General features: G+C 41.4%; 1 protein-coding gene across 6 annotated transcripts in view; it reads left to right on the top strand.

Moving 5' to 3' along the window:
* GABRB3 (gamma-aminobutyric acid type A receptor subunit beta3) overlaps positions 1-23242 on the top strand; it is a 230212-nt gene that overhangs the window by 186510 nt on the left and 20460 nt on the right. For all 6 annotated transcript variants that reach the window (NM_021912.5, NM_000814.6, NM_001278631.2 and 3 more), the window contains 3 exons: positions 3840-3922; positions 6798-6935; positions 19521-19673. In NM_021912.5, coding sequence (NP_068712.1) covers positions 3840-3922; positions 6798-6935; positions 19521-19673 — 374 coding nt within the window. The remainder of the gene's footprint in view (positions 1-3839; positions 3923-6797; positions 6936-19520; positions 19674-23242) is intronic.

Below are 23242 nucleotides of genomic sequence, written 5' to 3'. Positions count from 1 at the left end.
AAAAGAAAAAAGTGGCTCCATTTTTTTAATTGTAAATTGACAGTGTATAATTGTATAGATTTATGGGTTCTGTGAAGAGGGAGTTGCGTGGCGGAACAATGTATGGGGCACAAAATGATGTTACGATTTATGAATCTAATGTGAAATAATTAAATCAAGCTAGTTAACATATCCATCACCTCAAATTATTAACATTTTTTTGTGGCAAGAACATTTGAAGTTTACTTAGCAATTTGAAATGTACAATACTCTACTGCTAACTATATTCACCATGTTCTGCAATAGAATGCACAAAAAGAGAAAACATATTCTCCCTGTTTGAAATTGTCTACCCTTTGCTCATCACCTCCCCATTTTCCCTCCTCCAGCTTCTGCCACCACCATTCTACTCTCTACTTCTATAAGTTCATTGTTTTAATTCCACAAATAAGTGAAAATGTGATATTTGTCTTTCTGGGCCTGACTTATTTCACTTAGCATAATGTTCTCCAATTCCATCAATGTTGTCACAAATTTCAGAATTTCCTTCTTCGCTTTCTCTCTCTCTCTTTTTTTTTTTTTTTTTTTGAGATGGAGTCTTACTCACTTTGTCGCCCAGGCTGGAGTGCAGTGGCCCCATCTCAGCTCACTGAAATGGGGCTCCATTTTATAGCCAGCATTATAACAGAATGAGAAGACCTGGACAGCTACTGTACTTGGTGTACTTGGTGGGAAAAGGGCATGCTGTCACCAATTCTTCTAGCCTCAGGTTCCCCTTCTCCCTCCAATAATGTGACCACTGCACATGGTGTCCCCGAACAATTTGGGCATGTTTATGTGTATGTATGCGTGTGTGTGTGTGTGTGTGTGTGTGTGTTAGGGGTGGTTTGAAAAGTGAATAAGAAAACAGTAAGAAACAGTAATTTCAATCATTGACTCAGTTCAAGTGAATAGGTACCAAAATATATAAGAAAATTAAGCCAGGCGCGGTGGCTCACGCCTGTAATCCCAGCACTTTAGGAGACCAAGGCGGGTGGATCGGGGTCAGGAGATCGAGACCATCCTGGCTAACACGGTGAAACCCTGTCTCTTCTAAAAATGCAAAAAAATTAGCTGGGCGTGGTGGCAGGCGCCTGTAGTCCCATCTACTTGGGAGGCTGAGGCAGGAGAATGGTGTGAACCTGGGAGATGGAGCTTGCAGTGAGCCAAGATTGCGCCACTGCACTCAAGCCTGGGCGACAGAGCAAGACTCCGTAGCAAAAACAAACAAACAAACAAACAAAAAGAAAATTAAAAAATTTGAACATTGTCAGTGAAGGTTCTTTTCTTCTTCATAAAGATTCATAATTTTAGCAGAACTCTATTCTAATTTTGCATTATAGGCATCTTGTGTGGTTATTGGGTTGTCAATCTGCCATAACACATGCCAGAGTTGAAAGGTGTGAGTCTGGAACTTCAGTTGGCTAGAATGTTAAATGCTGTAGAAAAATATGCCAAAGAGCTATGTGTTGATTTGGGATCACAGAATGTAATGCACTCCTTGACTCCATGGATAAGGGGAAGTGTTATGACATTTGGAAGGAACACACTTTCACCATTGGTATGGATTTTATTGATGATGTCTGCATGGTGCATGCATGCTATTTGCATAAAAAATTAAGCATTGACCTGTGTGCTAAATATGTTGGCATTATCCCTCACTGCTTCTCTCAATCTTTGGAAAGTAGAATGTTGCTCAACCTGCTTGCTTAACCAGATGCTAATGGAAGGACATACTTTATCACCTGAGTTTAGGGTAAATGACACAAGTCCATCAGTATTGGCACATGTCTAGTGTTTTACAGGTGTTTGGATTAGGATCTGTTGGTAAGAGTCGGGCTTGCTCATTACCTGCAGCATTAGTAGGTTTGTTGTGAATATTCATAATGAAGATCATTCAGAAAAAGCTCAACACTGGGCTTCAAGAAAGATGAAACCTGAAGGACAGCTGGGGATTGAAGGTGACTCTAGGGATCTCAGGAGAAAGCATTCTCACATTTTCATTCTTACTCCCCATCACTGAATGGGCATAGCCAGGACTGCCAGTTACACAACTCCTGCACAGGCTTTCAGAAGCTGCTCCCTGGAGAGGTGGAGCACACATTCAGCAAGGCCACCCGCTGTGGCCTGGGGCACAACTACGACTGCAACCTCAACTCTACTTGCTGTACCTTCTCTCCCTCTATGATGCTTTCTCATCCTTTGCTCTCCAGTTTGAAAACAGCATCACAAGCCTGTAAACCATGGCCTTGCAGATGCACTTCCACTCTTATCTTTACTGTTCAATTCATTCCTATGGAAGAGAGTCTCTTTAGCTCCACTCTGCCTTTCAACTCAGGCCATGTCATGTATCTCTCACCCACTAATGGCTTGCTGTCTTTGACTCAGGAACCCACCACAGTCCAGTCACCTTTGACAGTGGTGGGGAAAGGGTGGGGTTCTAGAGATATGTAGTGTAAAATATAATAACCCTAATAGTTGCGTTTTCAAAGAAGCAGCTGTGAGTAAGTTGGTCTCCCTAAGAGAAGGCTGCAGGCAGAGTAGGAAGTGGACTTGACATTTCTAGAAGTATTGTTTCTCAGTGTAGGGTTGGCTTAACCATTGCATGGTGGAGCCTTAACTGCTTTTGGGAAGTAATTATTTCCATAGCTTTAGCTGGCCCCAAGAGAACTTACCCACCCAATTTTGGTTCATAATTGATAAAATAGGAGCCAAATATTTGTTTTGAAAAGATAGATGATCACACAGTAAAACAATTTCTGTAATAGCAGAATCCAGCCCAACAGACAACTATAATAAAATAGAAAGAAGCAGAGGTGAGGTTTAGAGTTCCAAAGTGTATCTGTAGCTACTTTAACACTTCCCGTGGAAAGTCAAAGACCTCAGTCTTAACCTAATTGGTGGTGTCCCACACATAGGCTCTGTCTGTAGTAGAGAGGCTAGAGAGCCTATAGACAAGAAGAGAAACAAAAATTGAAGGTAAGAACTCCCTTGGAAACCCCTTTCTCTGCCACTGATTATCCAAAGTCAATAAGACCTAGTAAGTTTTTGGTACAATATGGTGACTATAGCTAATAACAAAGTGCTGTATACTCAAAAATTGCAAGAGGGTAGATTTTGCATTTTCGTCACACACAAAAAGAGCTAAATGGGTGATACAGGCCAGGTGCGGTGGCTCACGCCTGTAATCTCAGCACTTTGGGAGGCCGAGGCAGGCGGATCACGAGGTCAAGAGGTCGAGACCATCCTGGCTAACATGGTGAAACCCCGTCTGTACTAAAAAATACAAAAAAATTAGCTGGGCGTGGTGGCAGGCGCCTGTAGTCCCAGCTACTCGGGAGGCTGAGGCAGGAGAACGGCGTGAACCTGGGAGTTGGAGCTTGCAGTGATCTGAGATCATGCCAGTGCACTCCAGCCTGGGCGACAGAGCAAGACTCTGATCAAAAAAAAAAAAAAATAGGTGATACAATACATTTGTTAATTACCTCAATTTAACTATTTCACAGTGTATATATATTTCAAAACATCATGCTGTATATTACAAATGTATACAATTTTTATGTCAATCAAAAAATAAATGATTAAAAATATATAATAAAATAAAGTTTTGTGTTTTTTTTTTCCTTGATAAATCTGGTCTATATTATGCTGAAAAGAGTTTCTTATTTACTCAAGTTTCTCTCTATATATAGTGAATGATGTTTAGCCAGGCGTACTTTGGGCAGGGTTCCCACAGGGGCTTACTCGTTTATCTAAGAGGAGTCTCCCTGATACATTTCTCAGCCCTTCTTTAATATCTTCCCTCACCCTGTGTATTTCAGAATCACCACGACAGCAGCATGCATGATGGACCTCAGGAGATACCCCCTGGACGAGCAGAACTGCACTCTGGAAATTGAAAGCTGTGTGTATCCGTATCTGTGTTTCTTTCTCCTCCTATTTGTACTTTTGATCCTTTTGTCATTATTTAGCATCTTTTTTCAAGGCATCCATAATTTTTTTGACATAGAAAGAGGGGAAGACACAGAGAGAGAAACACAGAGAGAGAGAGAGACTCAGTATAAAAGAGTTCTTCATTCTAATCTGATTAAGAGAGTCTGTTTGCTGCGCTGAAATAGAAGAAAACAAATGCCCCTCATTTCGGTCCATTCAGTGAGAGGAGAGCAAACACCGAGATGCTATTTTCCTACAATATGCTTCATCACTCATGAGTGGCTGCACTGCTGGGACCCTGGGCGGTCAGAGTAAAACTCATTTCCCATCAGGAACTCGGCTTGACAAGCAGGCTATTTCTGCATCTCGGCAATTTTCTTCAATTTGAGTAGTATTCAGATGCTTTATTGATAATTCAGCATTGAGTACTCCTATATGAGAGATGAGAACTGCATCCATAACATCTAACAATGTCCCTCCTGCTACCTAAACTACACCTCCTGGCATATCAGGATATGGTTTTTGTTGTTGCTTATCTTGGCCTATTATGAACTGGTTTATAACTAGTCTCAATTGGATTTAGGCTTGTCAATATTTATACTGAATTTTAGGGGGATAAATGACTTTGACTTTGCAGTCCCACTTGAAACAATTGTGGTAAGAAGCGAATGTCTTTGTGAATGAACATATTGAGAAACTGCACTGGTGGTAGGCTAGTGTAGATCCTGGGTGAGGCTGGCCCCATGGTGCCCCTCACTTCCACCCTACATCACTGTCGTGTTTTCTGAGAGCTGTGCTTTCACAGAATAAGAAAGACATAAGCCATGTCAAGTGATGCAAAGTTGAATTCTCTGGGGACTTTTACCTTAGAGGACAGAAGGCTCAGGGAAAAGATGATTTCCCAGTATTTGAAGGATGATCTTAAGAAGTTAACTGGCTTCAGTGTGGCCAGAGAGCACAACTCCAGTGAGGGCACAACTCCAGTGGAGGAAGTTTCAGGAAGGCCAATTTGGAATCTAAGTAAGGCAGCAGCTCCTGTTTCAACTGTCAAGTCACACAGTGCATGACTCCTGAGAGAGAGGACTCTGCCGCTGTGGTGTATGGGCAGTGGTGTATGATGAGCAGGAAGATCTGCTGTAGAAGAGGTTCTCTCCATGTGTGAGGTCCCTTCTCTGCAGAGAATCATGGTTTAATCATTTGAGTGGAAGAAGGGATTCTCCTGATTTTCTTCTGGTCTGACTACACATGTCTCCATATTGGGAATAGATAAAAGAAAAATGGTGTCTTTATTTCCACACTTGAGGGCAAATTCATCAACCCAAAGTTTATCCAACAAATACTTACTGGACATTATGTAGGCACGGTTGTAAGCAAAGGGATATTTAGAGATGACAGACAAAACACCTGCCTTTGTGGAGCTTATAATCCACAAAAGACAGGAAGCCATTAGACCAAAATCAAATAGTGGTAGTGCTTTGAAGAAAGTAAAGTCTGATAAAAGCATAGTGAGTGATTGCGAGGTTGCCTGTGAGATGGAATGCCAGGGAAGGCTTCTGCAAAAGGTTTTATTTCAGCCAAGATGCAAATGTGGGAAAGAATGAGCTATGTGAAGATCTGGAGGTGTGTCCCTGCACAGGACCCAGGAGCCCTGGGCAGAGCACGCTGGTCTGAGCTGCAATAAGAGACCAGTGAGGCCTGGCTGGGTGAATGAGAAAGGAGGGATGAAGGCCCAGGGGTCAGGCCTGTAGGTTCTTGAGGTTCTTGTAAGGAGTTTGTACTTGTTTTGCTATTAATAATTTCACTAGGAAGCATTTGCAAGTTTTAAGTAGAGTCTGCCACTTACCATGTGGAAAGATGCATGTTTTATTAAAGAGAGGAGAGTAGGTAGGACCAGGAAGGTGGCATTAGCTGTGGGGAGCAACTCTTCCCCACCCTACAGCTTTGGTCCATTTGTTTGACTAACATTAAATATTGAGTGAATATTTTTTCTTATATTTTATGTTCAAATTAAAAAGTCTTATATTGAGATAATATTGTTCTCGCAATCTCTGCTTTAAATGATCTTATTGACAAAATTGACCTAATGTTTTAGGAGACTCCTGGGTGTTACAAGTAAGAATGCACCTATTGCCCCACTTACTCATCCTCAAGAAGCCATGATGAATCACGCTGTAAATATGAGCACTGTGCTAAAGCTGGATTTGGAGCTATAATCCAGCTAACGACCACTGTTCTTTCTGATGAGACCACCTGTGCCCATCTCTAAGGGTCAGGAATATCCCAAGAACAGGCATTTCTAAGGTTGGCAAACTTCGTGGCCAGGAAGAGCTGATAAAACCATCCAAATATGCCAAGGAGAACATTCCTTTTGCTCTGAGCTTACCTCATGTAATCAACCACTGGTGAAATTCACCTTCAGTATTTGAACTTTGAACTCTCTCAGAAGCTCTTGAGAGGAGTATGCCTTTCTGGAATTCTTCATACTTCAATTCTCATTCTCTTAAAACTATCTTATTCATTGCAGTTGAGATACATTTTAAATTCATCTCTGTGTGGTGTCTGGGTCAGCTCTGAAGTTACACTTCGCAAATAGAACTCTGGTCAGAGCACCCATTCTCCCCAGCCTCTCGACTTTTCAGTACCAACCTGGTACAAATAAAATGGCAGCAGTAACATGAGAATATTGGAAAGTTAGTTCTTTGATGACACTTCCCCTAGACAAGCACATTAAGCAAATCTACTCAAAACATAGCAGAGCCGCAACCTCCATGTTAATGATAGTTTATTTAGCCGTGCATTTATACGAAATGGTGATGTTTGCTGTCTCCCTGCTTCTCTCTTGGCAGATGGCTACACCACGGATGACATTGAGTTTTACTGGCGAGGCGGGGACAAGGCTGTTACCGGAGTGGAAAGGATTGAGCTCCCGCAGTTCTCCATCGTGGAGCACCGTCTGGTCTCGAGGAATGTTGTCTTCGCCACAGGTGAGTCCTGCATCCACTTATAGTCCCTTCAGGGGCACTGGCTCCATGGGCGTGACTGGAGTGACAAAATGTGCTGCCATAGACTCACAGCACAGGATCATCGGAAGGAGTGCTGTTATCATTCACACATCACACACACCCCTCCTCTCTGTATCTAAAGGAGAGTGATAGGCTTTGATGGGGAGGAAGGCTCACCTGAGAAGAAGATGCTCTCTGGGACTGGTTATTGAAAAGACCGAGGATGAATTTCACCAATCAATGTTTGATAACATAAGAATCTCCCATCTTTGGGCAGACAACAGGTCATTGATGACCTTGGAGGCAGGAAGGAAGAGGAAGGAAAGAGGATGACCAGAGGAGGTAGGTGCTGTTCTCCTCCCAAGAGTAAGCTGCCTTTGCTCCACTGGGGTTAGCAGCCAGCCTTAGTGGTCCAGGAACTTGCGCCACCTCCAGTCCGCCTTGCCCCATTAGACATGGTCATCTTCTCCTGATGTTACCTGATGAAGGTTGCCTTAGCCTGGGTTTCCTTGTCATCTTTATATCAACTGCCCCAAGATTGAGATGGCGTCTTCTGCTCCTCAGTCTGTTCTTGCACAGGTTTTTACTAAATTACTAAATGTATATTTTGCAGTGTGCAGTGCTGACTGTGCTTACTGAATGCTGTGCATTGTAATTGGTATAATAAATGAAAGTGCTTTGTAAAATGTAAAGCATTTCAGAGATCACCAACTCTTGGTTGAAAATGCTAAGAGAAGGCAGAGCTGTTCATGTAGCTTGAACAAAGAGTGCATAAAAATTGACCCCAGTCCTGTGATGACAACCATGAAGCCAGTGAATGGGTTGGTTGAATGCTCCTGACCCATGGCCACCAGCTTCGCCTTCATGTGGCTAGCTCCGACTCATTCTTAGGCTTCATCTGGCGCTACTTCCTCTGGGAAGCCTTTTCAACCTGCTTGACCCGGCACAGCCCCCCAGGCTGGATTAAGTGGCTGGGGTGCATCTCCACAGGGCAGTACTGACCACCTTCCAGCTCTGCTCACAGCTCACGGTGCCTGCATCTGCAAGGGCACACCTCCCTGAGGAGGGACCTGCGTCAGTCATGCGTGGTTCATCCTCTCCCCACCCCCATCTTGAGTAATGCCCAATGTGTCCTGGGTGTGTGGCAGTTGTCACTGAGTAAGTAATTGATCAGTCAAGGTCACCAGCAACGTTCCCTCCTCTCCACCCCAGCCCCTAAGAGCCAAAGTACATGATAAGTAGATGGAAAAGCCTGAATTTTTAAGACACCAATCAGATCCTTTTTCTATGCAGTGCCACTTTATCCTCCACCTCAAGAGGTCTTGCAGATGTCCCTGCATTCTCCGGAGAAGACGCACTGAGAGGTTTACCTCAGGGAGAAATGAGAGCCAGCAGGAACTTGGGCTTATCATTAAGAAATAGTGTCCACAACCAAGAACGTTGGCCTGTGAGGCATTGAAAAAAATGATATGTTACTTCTAAAACTGGGTTTCAAAGTGTTCCATGCCCTGAGTGGTAGGAGCTAAAGGTCTGCTCAGAACAGAGGCTAGCACACTCACTGTGGAGTAATCCTGCCCATGCAGCCTTTGCCTAGAAAGTTGCAGAAATGGCCATGAGCGTGCTGCTATGAGGATTTCTTACTGCATTTTCATGCAGCCTCATTAGAAAGCCAGGTGAGGTGTTTGTAGAGGGTATGCTGCTTCCGTGGGGGACCACAGCCACTTAGAATGACTTCCTGAATCCACTAACTTGAAAGCACTTAGAACCACCTTCCTCCAGGTGCAATCCCCATCTTTCTTTTCAGTCTGTATGTGGTAGAACACATCCTAAAAATGTCTGGAGAAAATAGGCACTACAGGTATGTGGCAGAACACTTAAACTATTCACAGACCCATGGGGCTACCAGAATGCAGTATCATGTCTTCCTTCCAGCACATACTGAGTCCTGCATTTATTGGGTGTAGCGCAAGAGCTCCACATCAGTCAGTTACAAAATCTCCCAACTTTCAAAAGCTTGCACTTTAAAGTTATTCTAATTCACCTGTGCATGAAGAAATGGCATAAGTTGCAGTGTTCTAAAGATATTTTAATATTAAATGTTATCCTAATTTATTTTCCTTTCCACAAGTATTCTGAATTAATAAGAATGTGACTAGTAAACAAGATTGAAGGACTTTCTAGCCTGAGAGAGTATTCCCGAAAAAGGGGATTAGAGGCTGGGCACAGTGGTTCACACCTGTAATCCCAACGCTTCGGGAGATCAAGGCAAGAGGGTCAGTTGAGGCCAGGGGTTCCTGCCCAGCCTGTGAAACACAGTGAGACCTCATCACTATAAAAAATAAAAGATTTAGTCAGGCCACGGTGGCAGCATCTGTGGTCCCAGCTATTCAGGAGGCTGAAGTGGGAGGATCGCTTGAACCCAGGAGTTTGAGGCTGCAGTGAGCTATGATTGTACCACTGCAGTCCAGCCTGCAAGATGCTGTCTCCCCAGAAAAAGGGTGTTGGGGGGAGCTAGAAAAGAACAAACACTCTGGAAGTTTATTAGGACCAGACTATGATGTCACCAGGCGGTAGGAATTTTTCAGCTCCCCTATAATCTTATGGGACCCTGTCCATTGACCTACAGGTCGTTACGAGGGGCACGACTGTAACTTGTTTTTCTCCCCCTGCAGATGACTTTGTGATTTTTCTGTTTGTTTTTGGTTTTCCAAAACTATGATGTACCAAGTTGCAGCTTTCTCTGTGATTATTCTTCTTGGAGTTTTTTGTTTGTTTTGTTTGTTTTTTTCAGACAAAGTCTCACTCCATCACCCAGGCTGGAGTGCAGTGGCACGATTTCCTCTCACAGCAACCTCTGCCTCCTGGGTTCAAGCGATTCTCCTGCCTCAGCCTCCCTAGTAGCTGGAATTGCAAGCACATGCCACCATGCCTGGCTAAATTTTGTATTTTTAGTAGAGACGGGGTTTCGCTGTGTTGGCCAGGCTGGTCTCGAACTCCTGACCTCAAGTGATCTGCCTGCCTCAGCCTGCCAAAGTGCTGGGATTGCAGTTGTGAGTCACTGCACCTGGCCCTTCTTGGAGTTTATGGACCTTCTTGAATCTCTGGTTGGATGTGTGTCTGAGGGTTTGGAGCATCACTGGCCATCATCTCCTTAAGGGCTGCCTCTGCCCCATTCTCTCTTCTTCTAGAACCCCAATTACACACGTACCCGATCTTGTCATCATATCCTGTCTATCTTGCTCATTTCTTTCTGTATGTTGCATTTCATTTTCTTCTCAAGCTTCATGCTGGAAATGCTCTTTTGGTGTATCTTTTAGAGAGGATCTATGCTTGCTTCTACTAGACAGCTGGAGGCATTAGCAATCTAGGATAAGCTTCATCTACTTTCTAGGGTATGAGTAATTCTGAGTTCAGGCTCAGTCTTTGAACACGCATAAGTCCGTCTGGTTTATCTGTACATCTTGAGCAAAACTTTCCGTGTAAGTATAACCAACCCAAGCTGTAGGAGGTTTATTGTGGCCCCCTTCTTGATGGCCTCTATGTCCAGTGCCTGCCCCCTTAGTCCCCTGAGTCTTGGATGTTCTAATTAGCTTCTCATCTTTCCCTTATGAAAACTGCAGGTATCTGAAACATGGAGCTCTTCTCTCTTTTTTCTTTCTCTCTCACATCTTGATACAGATTTCTTACTGGCTTTTTATCTCTCCATTAAAATCTCTCCAGATTTAAATAAATCCTCAAGCAGATTTATTTAAATTCTGTCCATTTTTTCCAGTCGGTTTCAGTAGATTCTATAATACCCAAACCCATGTTTTATTTTTCACTCCTCTTTATATTTCTCAGAAAAGTTTCCAGTTGTTTTGATATGTAATTCTTATTTAATTTGCACTACTAATACATGAGCGTAAAAAAGAAGAAAATTTAGGAAACCTTTTTTAAAATTTCATTTCAGGAAATTCTGTATTTTTCTGAAAACATTATAAAGAGGAAACATTTATCCAGAATACTCTGTTGTTGAAGAAAGCACTATAAAGCTCAGTCAGGATATTTGAGCCGTTGGCTGTAACAGTTACAAGCTGTGAAAACGTGAGCAAAGCGCTTGCATAACAGACAGATTACGGGATCAGGTTAAAAGAAATACTGAATTAAATTTATTTCAACAAACATATTCAGCTAAAAATCAAAGAGCTCCTCAAATATCACTGTGAACACACTGATCAACAGATTGAAACTTCAGCTTTGTACTGGTCTTGAAAATGTGTCCCGCTCACCAGCAAAATGTGGGATATACAGTTTTTGCCAAATCTGAAATTTACTTGTCACTTTAGAGTTGTCTTTGAACGGAAAGATTGAGATTTTCGCAAGATATGTGGAGAACAGATGATTTAATATGCTTCTTTAATTTTGTGCTGTTTGTCTTTCTCTTCCTTTTTTCTTTGGTACATTTGGACAGTGATATATTCTGACTTTATTTCAAAATACTTTGGCTAAGATTGGAAGAAAAAGAGAAGGGTGCAAAATGAATAATGATGAGACATTTCAGTTAAGATATGTGAATTTTCTTTTTTTCAAAAATCAGTTTTCAAAATACTGCTTTATTTTCTTATTAATGATCATGACAAATTATAAATTTTTTTAAAAGTCCACCTGTCACACTGTTTGTAAATACATGCACTCAGCTTTCTCTTTAAGAGTCCATTTGTGAACTCCAGGCTTTAGTCTGCTTAACTAAAGCCTAGGATCCAATTATTGCCCATTCAGTCTATAAATACTATCTACTAGAGGTATAGAAAAGATAGATGAAACATTAAAAGGAAGAATTACCATCTGTCTTTTATTTGTAATTTAATTTGACCTTAAATTCCAGAGAAAAATTTCTATTTCTTTTCTCCCCATTGACTTTTGTTACTGGGATCCCTAGAGACAATTCACCTGTGCTTCCTAGCCGGTTACAATCCCTAATCTCTCAGTCCAAAATGCTGGACCAGAGCGTGCTCACTCCCAGGGCCAAGGCAGCGCTTAACTGGTTCTCTTTTTGCTGTGACATCACTTTTTATAAGGGCTTCTGACATATGAAACATGTCTCATTACAGAAGACAGACTTCTTCAGAAATTCATTGCCTTAAATCTTTTTTGCAAAAAGAGTTTTTAACTACCTTCATCCTTTTGAATTGCCTTTAAGACCTCCAGCAAAAGTTTAAAACTGTGCTCAATGGTGAAATCTCTGATTACAGAATCATGAACAGAGAAAGCACCAAAGTAGGAGGAAAAGAAAAGAAAGAAGGAACTTGTATTTATTGAGAGTGTACTTTGGGTCAGATAGCATGTCTTATAGTTGATGTGAATTTGATTGCCAGTAAAAATACATGTAGTAAACATTTTTTTTCCTTATAATGGATCTATTGAGATACAATTCGCATACCATACAATTTACCCATTTAAAGGGCACATTCAGTGGTGTTTAGTATATTTGCAGAGTTGTCCAACCATGACCAAAATCAATTTTAGAATATTTTTATCACCCCAAAAAGAAGCCCTGTATCCATTAGCAGTCTCTTCCCATTTCTCCCAACCCTAGACAACCACTAATCTAGTTTCTCCTTCTATGGATTTGTCTCTTCAGTACATTTCATATCAGTGGAATCATTTGTGTGGTCTTTCGTGTCTGGTCTTTCACTTGCATGGTTTTCAAGGTTCATCCATGTTGTGCCATGAATCAGTACTTCATTCCTTTTTATTGCCGAAGAAATATACTGCATTTTCTTTATCTGTTCATCAGCTGATGAACATTTGGCTTGTCTTCCCTTTGGGCTACTAGCTATAAGGCTGCTATGAACATTCAGGTATAAGTTTTAGTGTAGATATATGTTTTAATTTCTTTTAGGAAATTAACTCATATACTTAGGAGTGGAATTCCTGGGTCATATAGGGTAACATCCTTTTGAGGAACTATCAGACTATTTTCTAAAGTGGTGGCCTGATAATATTCCTACGGGAAGTATAGGAGGGTTCCAATTTCTCCATATTCTCACCAACACTAGTTATTTTCTGTCTTTTTTATTGTGGCCATAGGGTATGGTGTGGTATCTCATTGTGGTCTTGACATGCATTTCCCTAATGACTAAATGATGTTGACTATCTTTTCATATGCTATTTTGGCTGTTTCTCTATCTTTGGAAAAATATCTATTCAAAGCCTCTTCCCAGTTAAACAATTTCAGTTATTTGTCTTTTTTATAAGCATTCTTTTCTTTGAGACAGGGTCTTAGTCTGTCGCCCGGGCTGGAGTGCAGTGGCACAATCTTGGCTCACTGCAGCCTCAATCTCCTGGGCTCAAGAGATCCTCTCATCTCAGACTCCTAAGTACCTAGGACTATAGGCGTGTGCCACCATGCCCAGCTAATTTTTGTATTTTTTTGTAAAGATGGAGTCTCACTGTTTTGCCCAGGCTGGTCTTGAACTCCTGGGTTCAAGCAATCCTCCCGCCCTGGCCTCCCAAAGTGCTGAGATTGCAGGCATGAGCCACCCAACCAGCCGCATTCTTTATGTATTTTGGATATAAGTTCCTTATCAGATACATGATTTGCAAATATTTTCTCCCATTCTGTAGGTTGTCTTGACGGTACACTTTGGAGCATAACTGTTTTTAATTTTTATGAAGTATAATTTAATGTTTTGCCACTTATGGTGTTCTTGCCTTGATTTTACACACAAGGAAAGAGAGGATAGTAACCTTCTCAAAAAGGAGTATCCCAAATAATGGAGAGGCTGGATTGTTGAAACAAACATCCCTGTTCTTTGCTGCACTGTTATATGGTTCAATGCTGGTTTTTCTGTGGAGGATTAGAAAGGACTCATTGTCTGGTTGAGACAATATTTCAAACAATTTTTTTTAAAACCCCAATCCCATTTTTCTTCTCTCTCTTTTCTATTTCTTATATTTCCTTTTCTTAATGGGTTTTTTCAACACATAATAAGATGACTAGTAATGGGAGTAAAAATTAGAAACACTATTTTTAATTTTAGGCTGCATTATAAAGTAAAAGATAGATAATAAATGAATCATATAGCATGATAATGGGCCCAGAACGGCTCTAAGTGAGAGCTCACAAAGCTTCCCAGGCTGCAGTGGGAGTGCCTCACCATGGCAGCTTAATGGGAAGAGGAGCATGTGATAAGTGAGCTCTGCTGCATTTGCTGAAATACCAGCTTATTAGTTCACAGATGCATTTGAGTGGCTCTTAGCACTCTACAAAGCTGGCATGACCTTCTGTGTTCACATTTTTAATGAGTTCTTCAAAAATATTAATGCCTAGAGAATGATATAAATTCAGGCTGGATTAGAGACCCAGAGCTGTGTTTTTGGCATAATGGTGACTGCATCTGGGGAGAAAGGGCCGGGATCAGCATCTTCACTAGGTAGTTTTGCCAAGGAATCCCTGCCTTGGAACAATGCACTTGTGCCCAGGGACTGTGCCTCTGTCTGTTGGCTCAGCATCTGCCTGGGGACCTGACCACGTCTGCACTGGCACACAGACATTAGGGCTTCAGCGCATTTCAGTTGTAAATTCAAGCTTCTGTTTCATTTTAAAAGGGATGTCTTAGTGCAGCTGACTCATTACTTCTCAACTTCAAGTTATTTGCCACTAGCTGTGATCACTTGGGAGTTTTCCACATAGATACCGCATATTTCATGGCATTCCATCCTGCCAGTGTAAGGACCTTGTCTACCGGAGCTACAAAAATACTTTTATGTACTCTTTAAGATGCACATCAAATGGGAAAAGCCTTTGCCTAGCAGAATAGATCTACTACGTCAGATAATTCTTGGGTTGACTAACATTCCGAGGTCTCTGTCTCGTGGCATCTTGAATGGCTCTGCTGGGTCCGTTACCTTGAAAGCTCTCCTTCATCCCTGCCTGAAGGAATCCTATTCAACCATGAATGTCTCATACACCAGAGGTGCATACAATGTGAAACCTCTCCTAAATCACTTAGGCGTGTGCCCTAGCATATTTTTATACCTCCAGGATAGTGCACGCCACAGCTTTATGGAGGCCAGTTCTGAATGAATCTGTCTGACATGGGTCAGGAGCTATAAATAGTTGGGAAGGTAAACTGTGCTTTTATTCACCTTCGTTGTTTGCCCCACTTACTGTTTCCACCTCAGAGACTAGGATGTGTGGGGCATGCGCCGGATACCGGAACATTTTGCTGATTGGAAATGGCATTTTCCTTTTTTTTTTTTTTTTTTTTTCTTGAGACGGAGTCTCGCTCTGTCGCCAGGCTGGAGTGCAGTAGCTCAATTTCGGCTCACTGCAACCTCCGCCTCCCAGGTTCAAACGATCTCCTGCCTCAGCCTCTTGAGTGCTGGGATTATAGGCACCCGCCACCACGCCTGGCTAATTTTTGTATTTTTAGTAGAGATGGGGTTTCACCATGTTGGCCAGGATGGTCTCGATCTCTTGACCTCGCGATTCACCTGCCTTGACTTCCCAAAGGCATTCTACTTTTAACAAATAGAATGTATTTGCTAAACAAATGCAAAAGAAAATGGTATATTTTCTTACTTCCAAATTCTGTGTCAATGAGTATCTTGGCGAATTTCCAGAGAGTAATGTGTTTTTGAAATCAGTTTCGTATTCTCTTCTTCAAGGTCCCTAATGATCGTCCAAGTGTTTGTTTGACTGTACAGTCATGGCAGTCAATAGTGGTTTCTACTGCCCACAGTTTCCCTGAAGATGTACTTTGGAAAATGTTTAAGAAAGTTGACTTGGCAAATGGAAAGTTGGAGGATATAGTAAATTACATTATCATTCAAAAATATTTGCTGCTCTTCTCTGGGAGACGATTAAACATTCCCGTTCTCCTGACATAAAAGTTGGCAATGAGACTTGCTCTGGCCACAGAAACATGATGGGAAGTATGTATAGCTCTTCTACCAGAGGCCAACAGTGTTGCAGACAGAGGGAGCTAAGTGGATATATTTTTTATAGGAAAAATTTTTGTTACAAACTACTGAGATTTGGGGGCTGTTTGTTACTGTAGCATAAGCCAACATGTCCTGACTGATGCAGACTGTTCCATGTATGGTGGATTATAGTAAGATTTACCTGAAGCAAAGAGAAGCAAATAAGTGATAAGAAAGGTCTGAGGTTGCCATGAAATTGCAGATTAAGAGCCAATATTGAAGTTACTTCAGTAAAGATATTGAAGTTACCATGGGATTTCAAGCTACAATTCAATAAGGATGTTGAGCCTTTTGTGTATTAAGCTCAACTAAAGAGTCATATAAAGAAACTAAATACTCCTATTTTCATTCATTCAGCCTTCAGAAGTATTTATTCATAACCTATGATGGTTTTGACATTTACCTAGGCATTGTAGTATATAAAAAAAATTACCTCACAAATTCTGCCCTGGGGACTGTACAGCTTATTAAGGAAGATCTTACCTTTGTAAATATTTATAATTATAATAATATGAATGAGAAAAAAAATTCAAGAGGGTGATTACTTACATTTGGAAGGAGGAAAAAGAAAGGATTCATGGAAGATGGGGCTTTGACCAAGACCTTGAGGTATAGATAAGGAAAGACGCATCTTCAAAACTGGGATGTGAGTCAGCAGAGGCAGGAAATAGAGATGAATATTTTGAGGCAGTGAGAACCTCTTTGACTAAAAAATGTTATACTTAATGCAGAAACATGGTGGAAAATAAAACTGAAGTTAATTTGGGAAAAGATGGAGAAACTGAAATTCCTGGATGCGTGTTTTGATGTTTGTGGGAAGCAATGAGCCGTAGAAGATTTTGACTGTGGCATGACAGTGAGCATCATTTCCATGTTTCCCAAATGTGCCCAAGTCGCGCAAGGCCCAGAGCCAGGAGGGCGAGGCCCGCGAGGAGGGTCTGGCCCCCGTGCATGGTGCGCAGGCCCATGATCCACATTTACAAGAAACGGAGTCTAAAAACAACAGAACTGTGTGAAATGTATATGAAGGGAAGCCTCATTCTACTGATGGTGTTGGAGAAACCGGTTTGCTGTTTGTGGAACCAAAATCCACATATGTTTTCACCTCATGTCAAACTCTGAAATAATTGCCAACCCTCAAAATAGGTTTGCAGGTAGATCTGTATTGTGAACTTACCTAAGGCTAAACACAAGTTTTAACAATCACAAGGGAAAAAGTGAAATGGATAGAAGTAATTGCATACAAAAAGTTAGGGATCTGTGTGTCCTCCACTCAAAGCCATTACAAGGTTTACAACAGCAACTGGGAGAATGCTTGCAGAGAATACAAGCGAGGATTAGCATATAAAGTGTTTCAATGAAAAGGTAAAAACCATCAGAGGAAACAGAAATGAGAAAAATAAATGAGTAATCAGATAACTTACAAGATTAAATATAGAGAACAAACAAACATTTAGGAAGTATTCAATTTTTAAAAAAGTAATTGAAAGGACAAGGTTTTCCCAAGGGATTTAGCAAAAACTATTTATAAGAGATAATGTATAATGTCATATTTGCAAGGTGTGCTAGGCACTTTTATTAATCTGCTGATAGTGGCAGCGGCATACATTGGTTTCATACATTTGCAAAGTAATTTGACAATATTTATCAAAAGCTTTAACCTTTGGCCTAGCAATCCCTCCTTTGGCATATTCATCCTCAAGAAGTAAGTCTAAATATGGAAAACCGGCTCTGCACAAATATATCCTTAAGAGTACTATTTATAGTTTTATAAAAATTGAAAACACCTAAATCTACAGCATTCAGGAATCTGTATTTATAGAGTCCTTGTGGTGATATTTGATGGATCATTAGGAAGAATCGAAAATTGTGTTTACAAATAATTTGTAGCCACTCTAAAAATTATTATGCTATGATGACATGTGATATATGCATTTGATCAGAGCTGTGTAAGAGAAATTCTACACAGACACACACAAAGACTGGAGGAAATTTCTGAGACTGTCAGCCTTGAAGTGCTGGGTATGTTTGGTGATTTCTTTTCTCTTTTATATAATCCTGGCTGCAAATGTGGTTGATGCTAAGGTAGGAGGCCTAGACATAAAATCGTTCATCTCCTGCATAATGGTAGTAGTCATACGAGTGAATCAGACTGCCAAAGAGAAGAATCTAGGGACAGACACAGAAAGGGACATGGAATAAAGCCTGTAGAATGCATATATTTAGGGGCAGGAGGAGAATAGGAGCCTGCCAGGCTTGGAGTAGGAGGAGATCAGGAAAGGTGAGGCCTCTTGGAGTTTAGGGTGTGGGCAGCTTCAGAAAGAAGGCACCTGCTAGTGTGGGGGAGCAATCAGAGGAGCTGATTAGAGAGGGTCATTGGGTTCTCACTGGCTGGCCCTCAGGCAGCTCCATCAGAATCCAGAAAACAAGGAGTGGTAGGATTGGAACTGAGAAAGTGGCCTATTGAAACAAACGGGGAAACAAGGCCACACTTGCCTTGCTCTAAGAAAAGCAAAATAGGCCGGGCTCAGTGGCTCATGCCTGTAATCCCAGCACTTTGGGAGGCCGAGGTGGGTGGATCACAAAGTCGGGAGTTCAAGACCAGTCTGGCCAATATGGTGAAACCCTGTCTCTACTAAACATACAAAACCAAAAAAAAAAAAAAAAACCTAGCTGGGCATGGTGGCAGGCACCTGTAGTCCCACCTACTCGGGAGGCTGAGGCAAGAGAATCGCCTGAACCAGGGAGGTGGAGGTTGCAGTGAGCCAAGATCGTGCCACTGCCCTCCAGCCTGGGTGACAGAGCGAGACTCCATCTCAAAAAAAAAAAAAAAGAAAGGAAAACAAAATAAGACAGAAAAGGCAAATATAGCGCTGAATGTGGCATGATAAATGGCATATTTTCTCACTCTGTCATGGTGGTGGTGGTAGGATTCCAAAATGTGTTGAGTGGAATGTTCACATCCGAGAATTAACACTGGGACTCATGGGCAAGAAGGCAGACAGGTGCTCCTTTGAGACTCTCGTTAATGCCTCTTCTGTGGCCGAAGCAGAAGCCCTCAGTGTGCACCACTGCTTTCTCCGGGACTGGACTTGCTTCTCTGCCTCTCTCATTCTTAGGGTGCCCCTGAGCTAGCCCAGTCACTCTAGGGGCAATGCCTCTAACATCTGTATTCAGGGCTGAACTCCAGGTGGGCTGAAAGGACAACTGGTAAAAGCCTTTCTTGCCCAGTAAAGCCTTGAGCCACATCTCCGCTGTCTACAAGGAAGAAGGGGATAATCATTCATTAAAGAATAAACAAGGTATTTGGCATTATTCTGGATTCTAAGCTAAAAACTAATACGTTTTTCCAAGTTCTCAACCGAGCGTTTAGCCTTAGAAGAGCATCCTCATCACTATCTTATAAATAGACCGAAAAGCACCCCCCTCCTAATTCTTCTATAAATACCGCTAGCAGACAGAAGCAAACTGCTTGGTGGTGGGTCACCCCTTTATTCGCAGACTTTTCCATTGCCTGTTGTTGACCTATGGAAGTCAAAGCAAACTCTTTAGTCTGCCATGTTGTTTCTCCAGTGTAATATCCTTGTCTGTTTCCCATAGGTGCCTATCCTCGACTGTCACTGAGCTTTCGGTTGAAGAGGAACATTGGATACTTCATTCTTCAGACTTATATGCCCTCTATACTGATAACGATTCTGTCGTGGGTGTCCTTCTGGATCAATTATGATGCATCTGCTGCTAGAGTTGCCCTCGGTATGTGCTATTTTTAAGTGATATTTAAATGTAAAGTAACCGTATCATTACAGTATTAAGAGAGTTCAAAGGCTGTAGTTCAACTACCATTTTTTGACAGCGTGACACAAGCATTGCCTGTATAGTCACTTTTTATCTTGAAACACTAATTTCACGCACGATTCCCTTGATGTGTTAATTTAATTACAAGGCTCAAATGTGAATTTTCATGCCCATGAAAGGGAAAATATGCTTGCAGAATATTTGCATGATAAAACTATTTTTGACACTAATTTTAAAGCAAGGTTTAACATCTCCTGTTCAAAATTATTCCATGGCCCAGAAAGAAGACTTGATTAATTGTGCATTCTTCTTTTTTAAGTCAGAAAAATAGTCAAATATTACAGCATAGAATTGGAATTACACAATTTAATGAGCATTAAAATATGGAATTCAATTCTGAATGATTGCCAAAGGCTCTAGTGATCTTTCCTGACCATTGGTTATTTGACAGCTGGATTATTAGCTGATGTACAATATGTATTATAGGTTCCAATATTATTTTTAGCATTTTGATTATTAAGGGAAGGCTTATATTTTCAGAAACATTATTCTCTATTCAGCTGATTAATATGAAACTGCATAGAAAAAATAATTATTTAAATACGTTTATGTAAGTACAGAGCTGATGCAATCTGCAATCCATCCCTTTGGATAGGGTTGAATTTATTTCCTGAAAGTGAACGTATCAGTAGTACTTATAAAAATTGATGGAAAAGAATTATCAACACATTATCTGGCAAAGTACCTTACAAAAAAACATAAGAATTCAGGGTTCCAGTTATCCCTTCTTTCCTGTTCTTTTTTTTTGAGACAGAGTCTCACTCTGTCACCCAAGCTGGAGTGCAGTGGCATAATTGCGATTACGGCTCACTGCAGCCTCAACCTCCTGAACTCAAGTGATCCTCTCAACTCTACCTCCTGGACAGTGGGGACAACAGGCACACACCACCACACTTGGCTAATTTTTTAATTTTTTGTAGAGATGGGGTTTCGCCATGTGTCCCAGACTGGTCTTGAACTCTTGGCCTCAAGCGATCTGCCCACCTCAGCCTCCCAGAGTGCTAGGAGTATATGCGTGAGCCACCACACCCAGCCCTTTTTCTGTTTACCAACTTTTCCCAGGACTTTAAATTGAATAACGTGTTTTCTTTTCTAATAAAATGTAAGTACATGTGTGTATATGGATGACAAACATGTGACTTGCATAGTTGTAATCAAGATCAGATTTATTTCCCAGGAAATAACACATAATTATGGCTTGAGAAAATCAGGTAGCTATTCCTAAGGGTGTTAAGTGGATAAGAAAACCACTCTATGAAGAGTAAAGCTGCAAAAAACTGAAAGTGCTGTTTTAATTGTTATGTATTTCTAATAGGTATCATAAGCACAGTTCTCTAAAAAAAGAAAAAAAATCTCCAGGACTTTTCTACAGCCTGCAGATCTTCCCCAGTAATGTCAGTCTTTATGTAGCTTTTACTTTAAAAATACGTATATTGCTAGATTACTCTTTGTTAAACTCTTTTTTCACTTGGAAAATTCAAAGATACATTTGTAGAGGCAGATCTAAATTATGCAGAGCTGTTAGCTTATACAATTTCAAGCACCCCCTTTTAAGAAAAATAATATGAAATATACAAATACAAAGTTGCTGGGACCCCTCCCCAAGCCTAGAAGAGGCGTATGAAAGTGGAGACCGATCTGAAGCATCTGCTACAGAGAATTTGCCGTCACTGCGATAGTTAGTGAAATATGAGTACCAAGGAACCATGATTATCTGACATCACAAGGGGTGGGGTGTACTGAAAATGTGCATATCTGAATTTCCCAGCCATTACAGATTCTGTCCCTCCCTAATTGTAAAGTATTGCCTTCTACAGTATTAAATCGTTAATACCCCGGAAGTGAGTTACATTCAACCCAATTTCATTAAGTTATATGAAAGTAGATTCCACTTTTTCTTCATGACAGCATTATTAATATAAACAAACTGTGCCTCTGTGGCTTTGCTGGGATAAAGGCATGGGCTGGCTAGGGTTGCTGAGGCTTCAACATTGGAGGATTGACGCTTGTGCTCTGGGAGGCAAGCATGAGAGCCAGAGTGAAGGGGATATTCACTAGAGTTAGGGTGACCCCGAGGTCAAGAGGGCAGCTGTGATCTTAGGGCTGTGGGTCTGGCCAGACAAGAACCCAACAGATCCAGCTCTCAGAGTATGACTGACACCTGCACATGCATTCCCTCTGTCCCTCCTGCCAATACAAGACTGAGTCTAGATCTACAGTCACTGGGAAATGTCAGTTGGTGAATTCAGAAAAAGTATGACGCAGTGTCAGGAGCACTGAGTAACATCATCATCATCATCATCATCATCAATACAACAGACAAGATTAATAAAGGCTGAAAATTATCACATAGTTAGGTGCCACATTCTCTGCTAAGGCCATTCATGTAGTTTATCTGTTCTGGAGAAGACTCACAGCACAGTACGAAGTATTATTGCTCCAGTTTTACAGAGCACAAAAATAGAATACAGAGAAGCTAAGTAACTGGTACGAAGTCATATAATTACCAAGTTTCAGAAGAAAGATTTCAATCCAGTTAGTATGACTTCCAGACCTTCTCCCTTAACTACTGCATATAATTCCTAAAGTGTCAGTAAAACTACAGTAAAGAGTTATTTGGTCTACTATGTTGTAAAAGTCATGGATTTGTTTAAGAAAAGAAAAAAGCTAACCAAACATTATGAACTCTTATTATTGAGGAATCCCTCATAACTGTTAAGATGCTACTGAGCTCCATAGGATACAGCTATAGTTTGGAGGGCTTTCATTGGAGAAATCCCCCTTCCTGCCACCCCTTCCCAAGCACCTAGTCTTATAGCACAGCTTTGAAATGCTTACAGTGCTTTTTGCATTCATCCTAAGGGACTGCACTGTGATCAATACACATTGCTTCTAAATGCATGATAAAGGTGCTGCCTCTGCATAGCTAGGACGGGTGGGGCTCGGCAGAGGCCTCTATTGAGGGCTCACCCTTGGGCTCTGGGCACTGTTGGACCTGGACTCAACGCGGGAGGGACTCAGGGCCTGTTCTGCTGGCTCTTCAGACAGCCGTGCTCCTCGGCTGCTCTGTGGGCTTCAGCATGATATGCTTCTGCTGCCCAGGGTCTGACCATCAGATACATTGAACTGTTAGCGTTAACGACCACCAAACTTTAAAGTGGGAAGTTGTAATTAGATGGCCTCCCTCAAAACCCTCAGTGAATACAGGTTGGGTGTCCCTTATTCAAAATGCCTGGGACCAGAAGTGTTTTGAAAATCAGATTTTTTTCTACTTTTGGAGTATCTGCATTATACTTAGTTTGAGCATCCCTAATCCAAAAATCCAAAATCTGAAATGCTCCAATTAGCATTTCCTTTGAGCACCATGGAGGTGCTCAAAACGTTCCAGATTTTGGAACATTTCAGATTTTGGATTTTTAGGTTAGAGATGCTCAATCTGCAAAAGTACTGATACTTCTAAAGGTAAA

Source organism: Homo sapiens, chromosome 15 (genome assembly GCF_000001405.40).
Source record: "Homo sapiens chromosome 15, GRCh38.p14 Primary Assembly".
NCBI lineage: Eukaryota > Metazoa > Chordata > Mammalia > Primates > Hominidae > Homo > Homo sapiens.
This window is presented reverse-complemented; position numbering and strand designations above follow the sequence as displayed.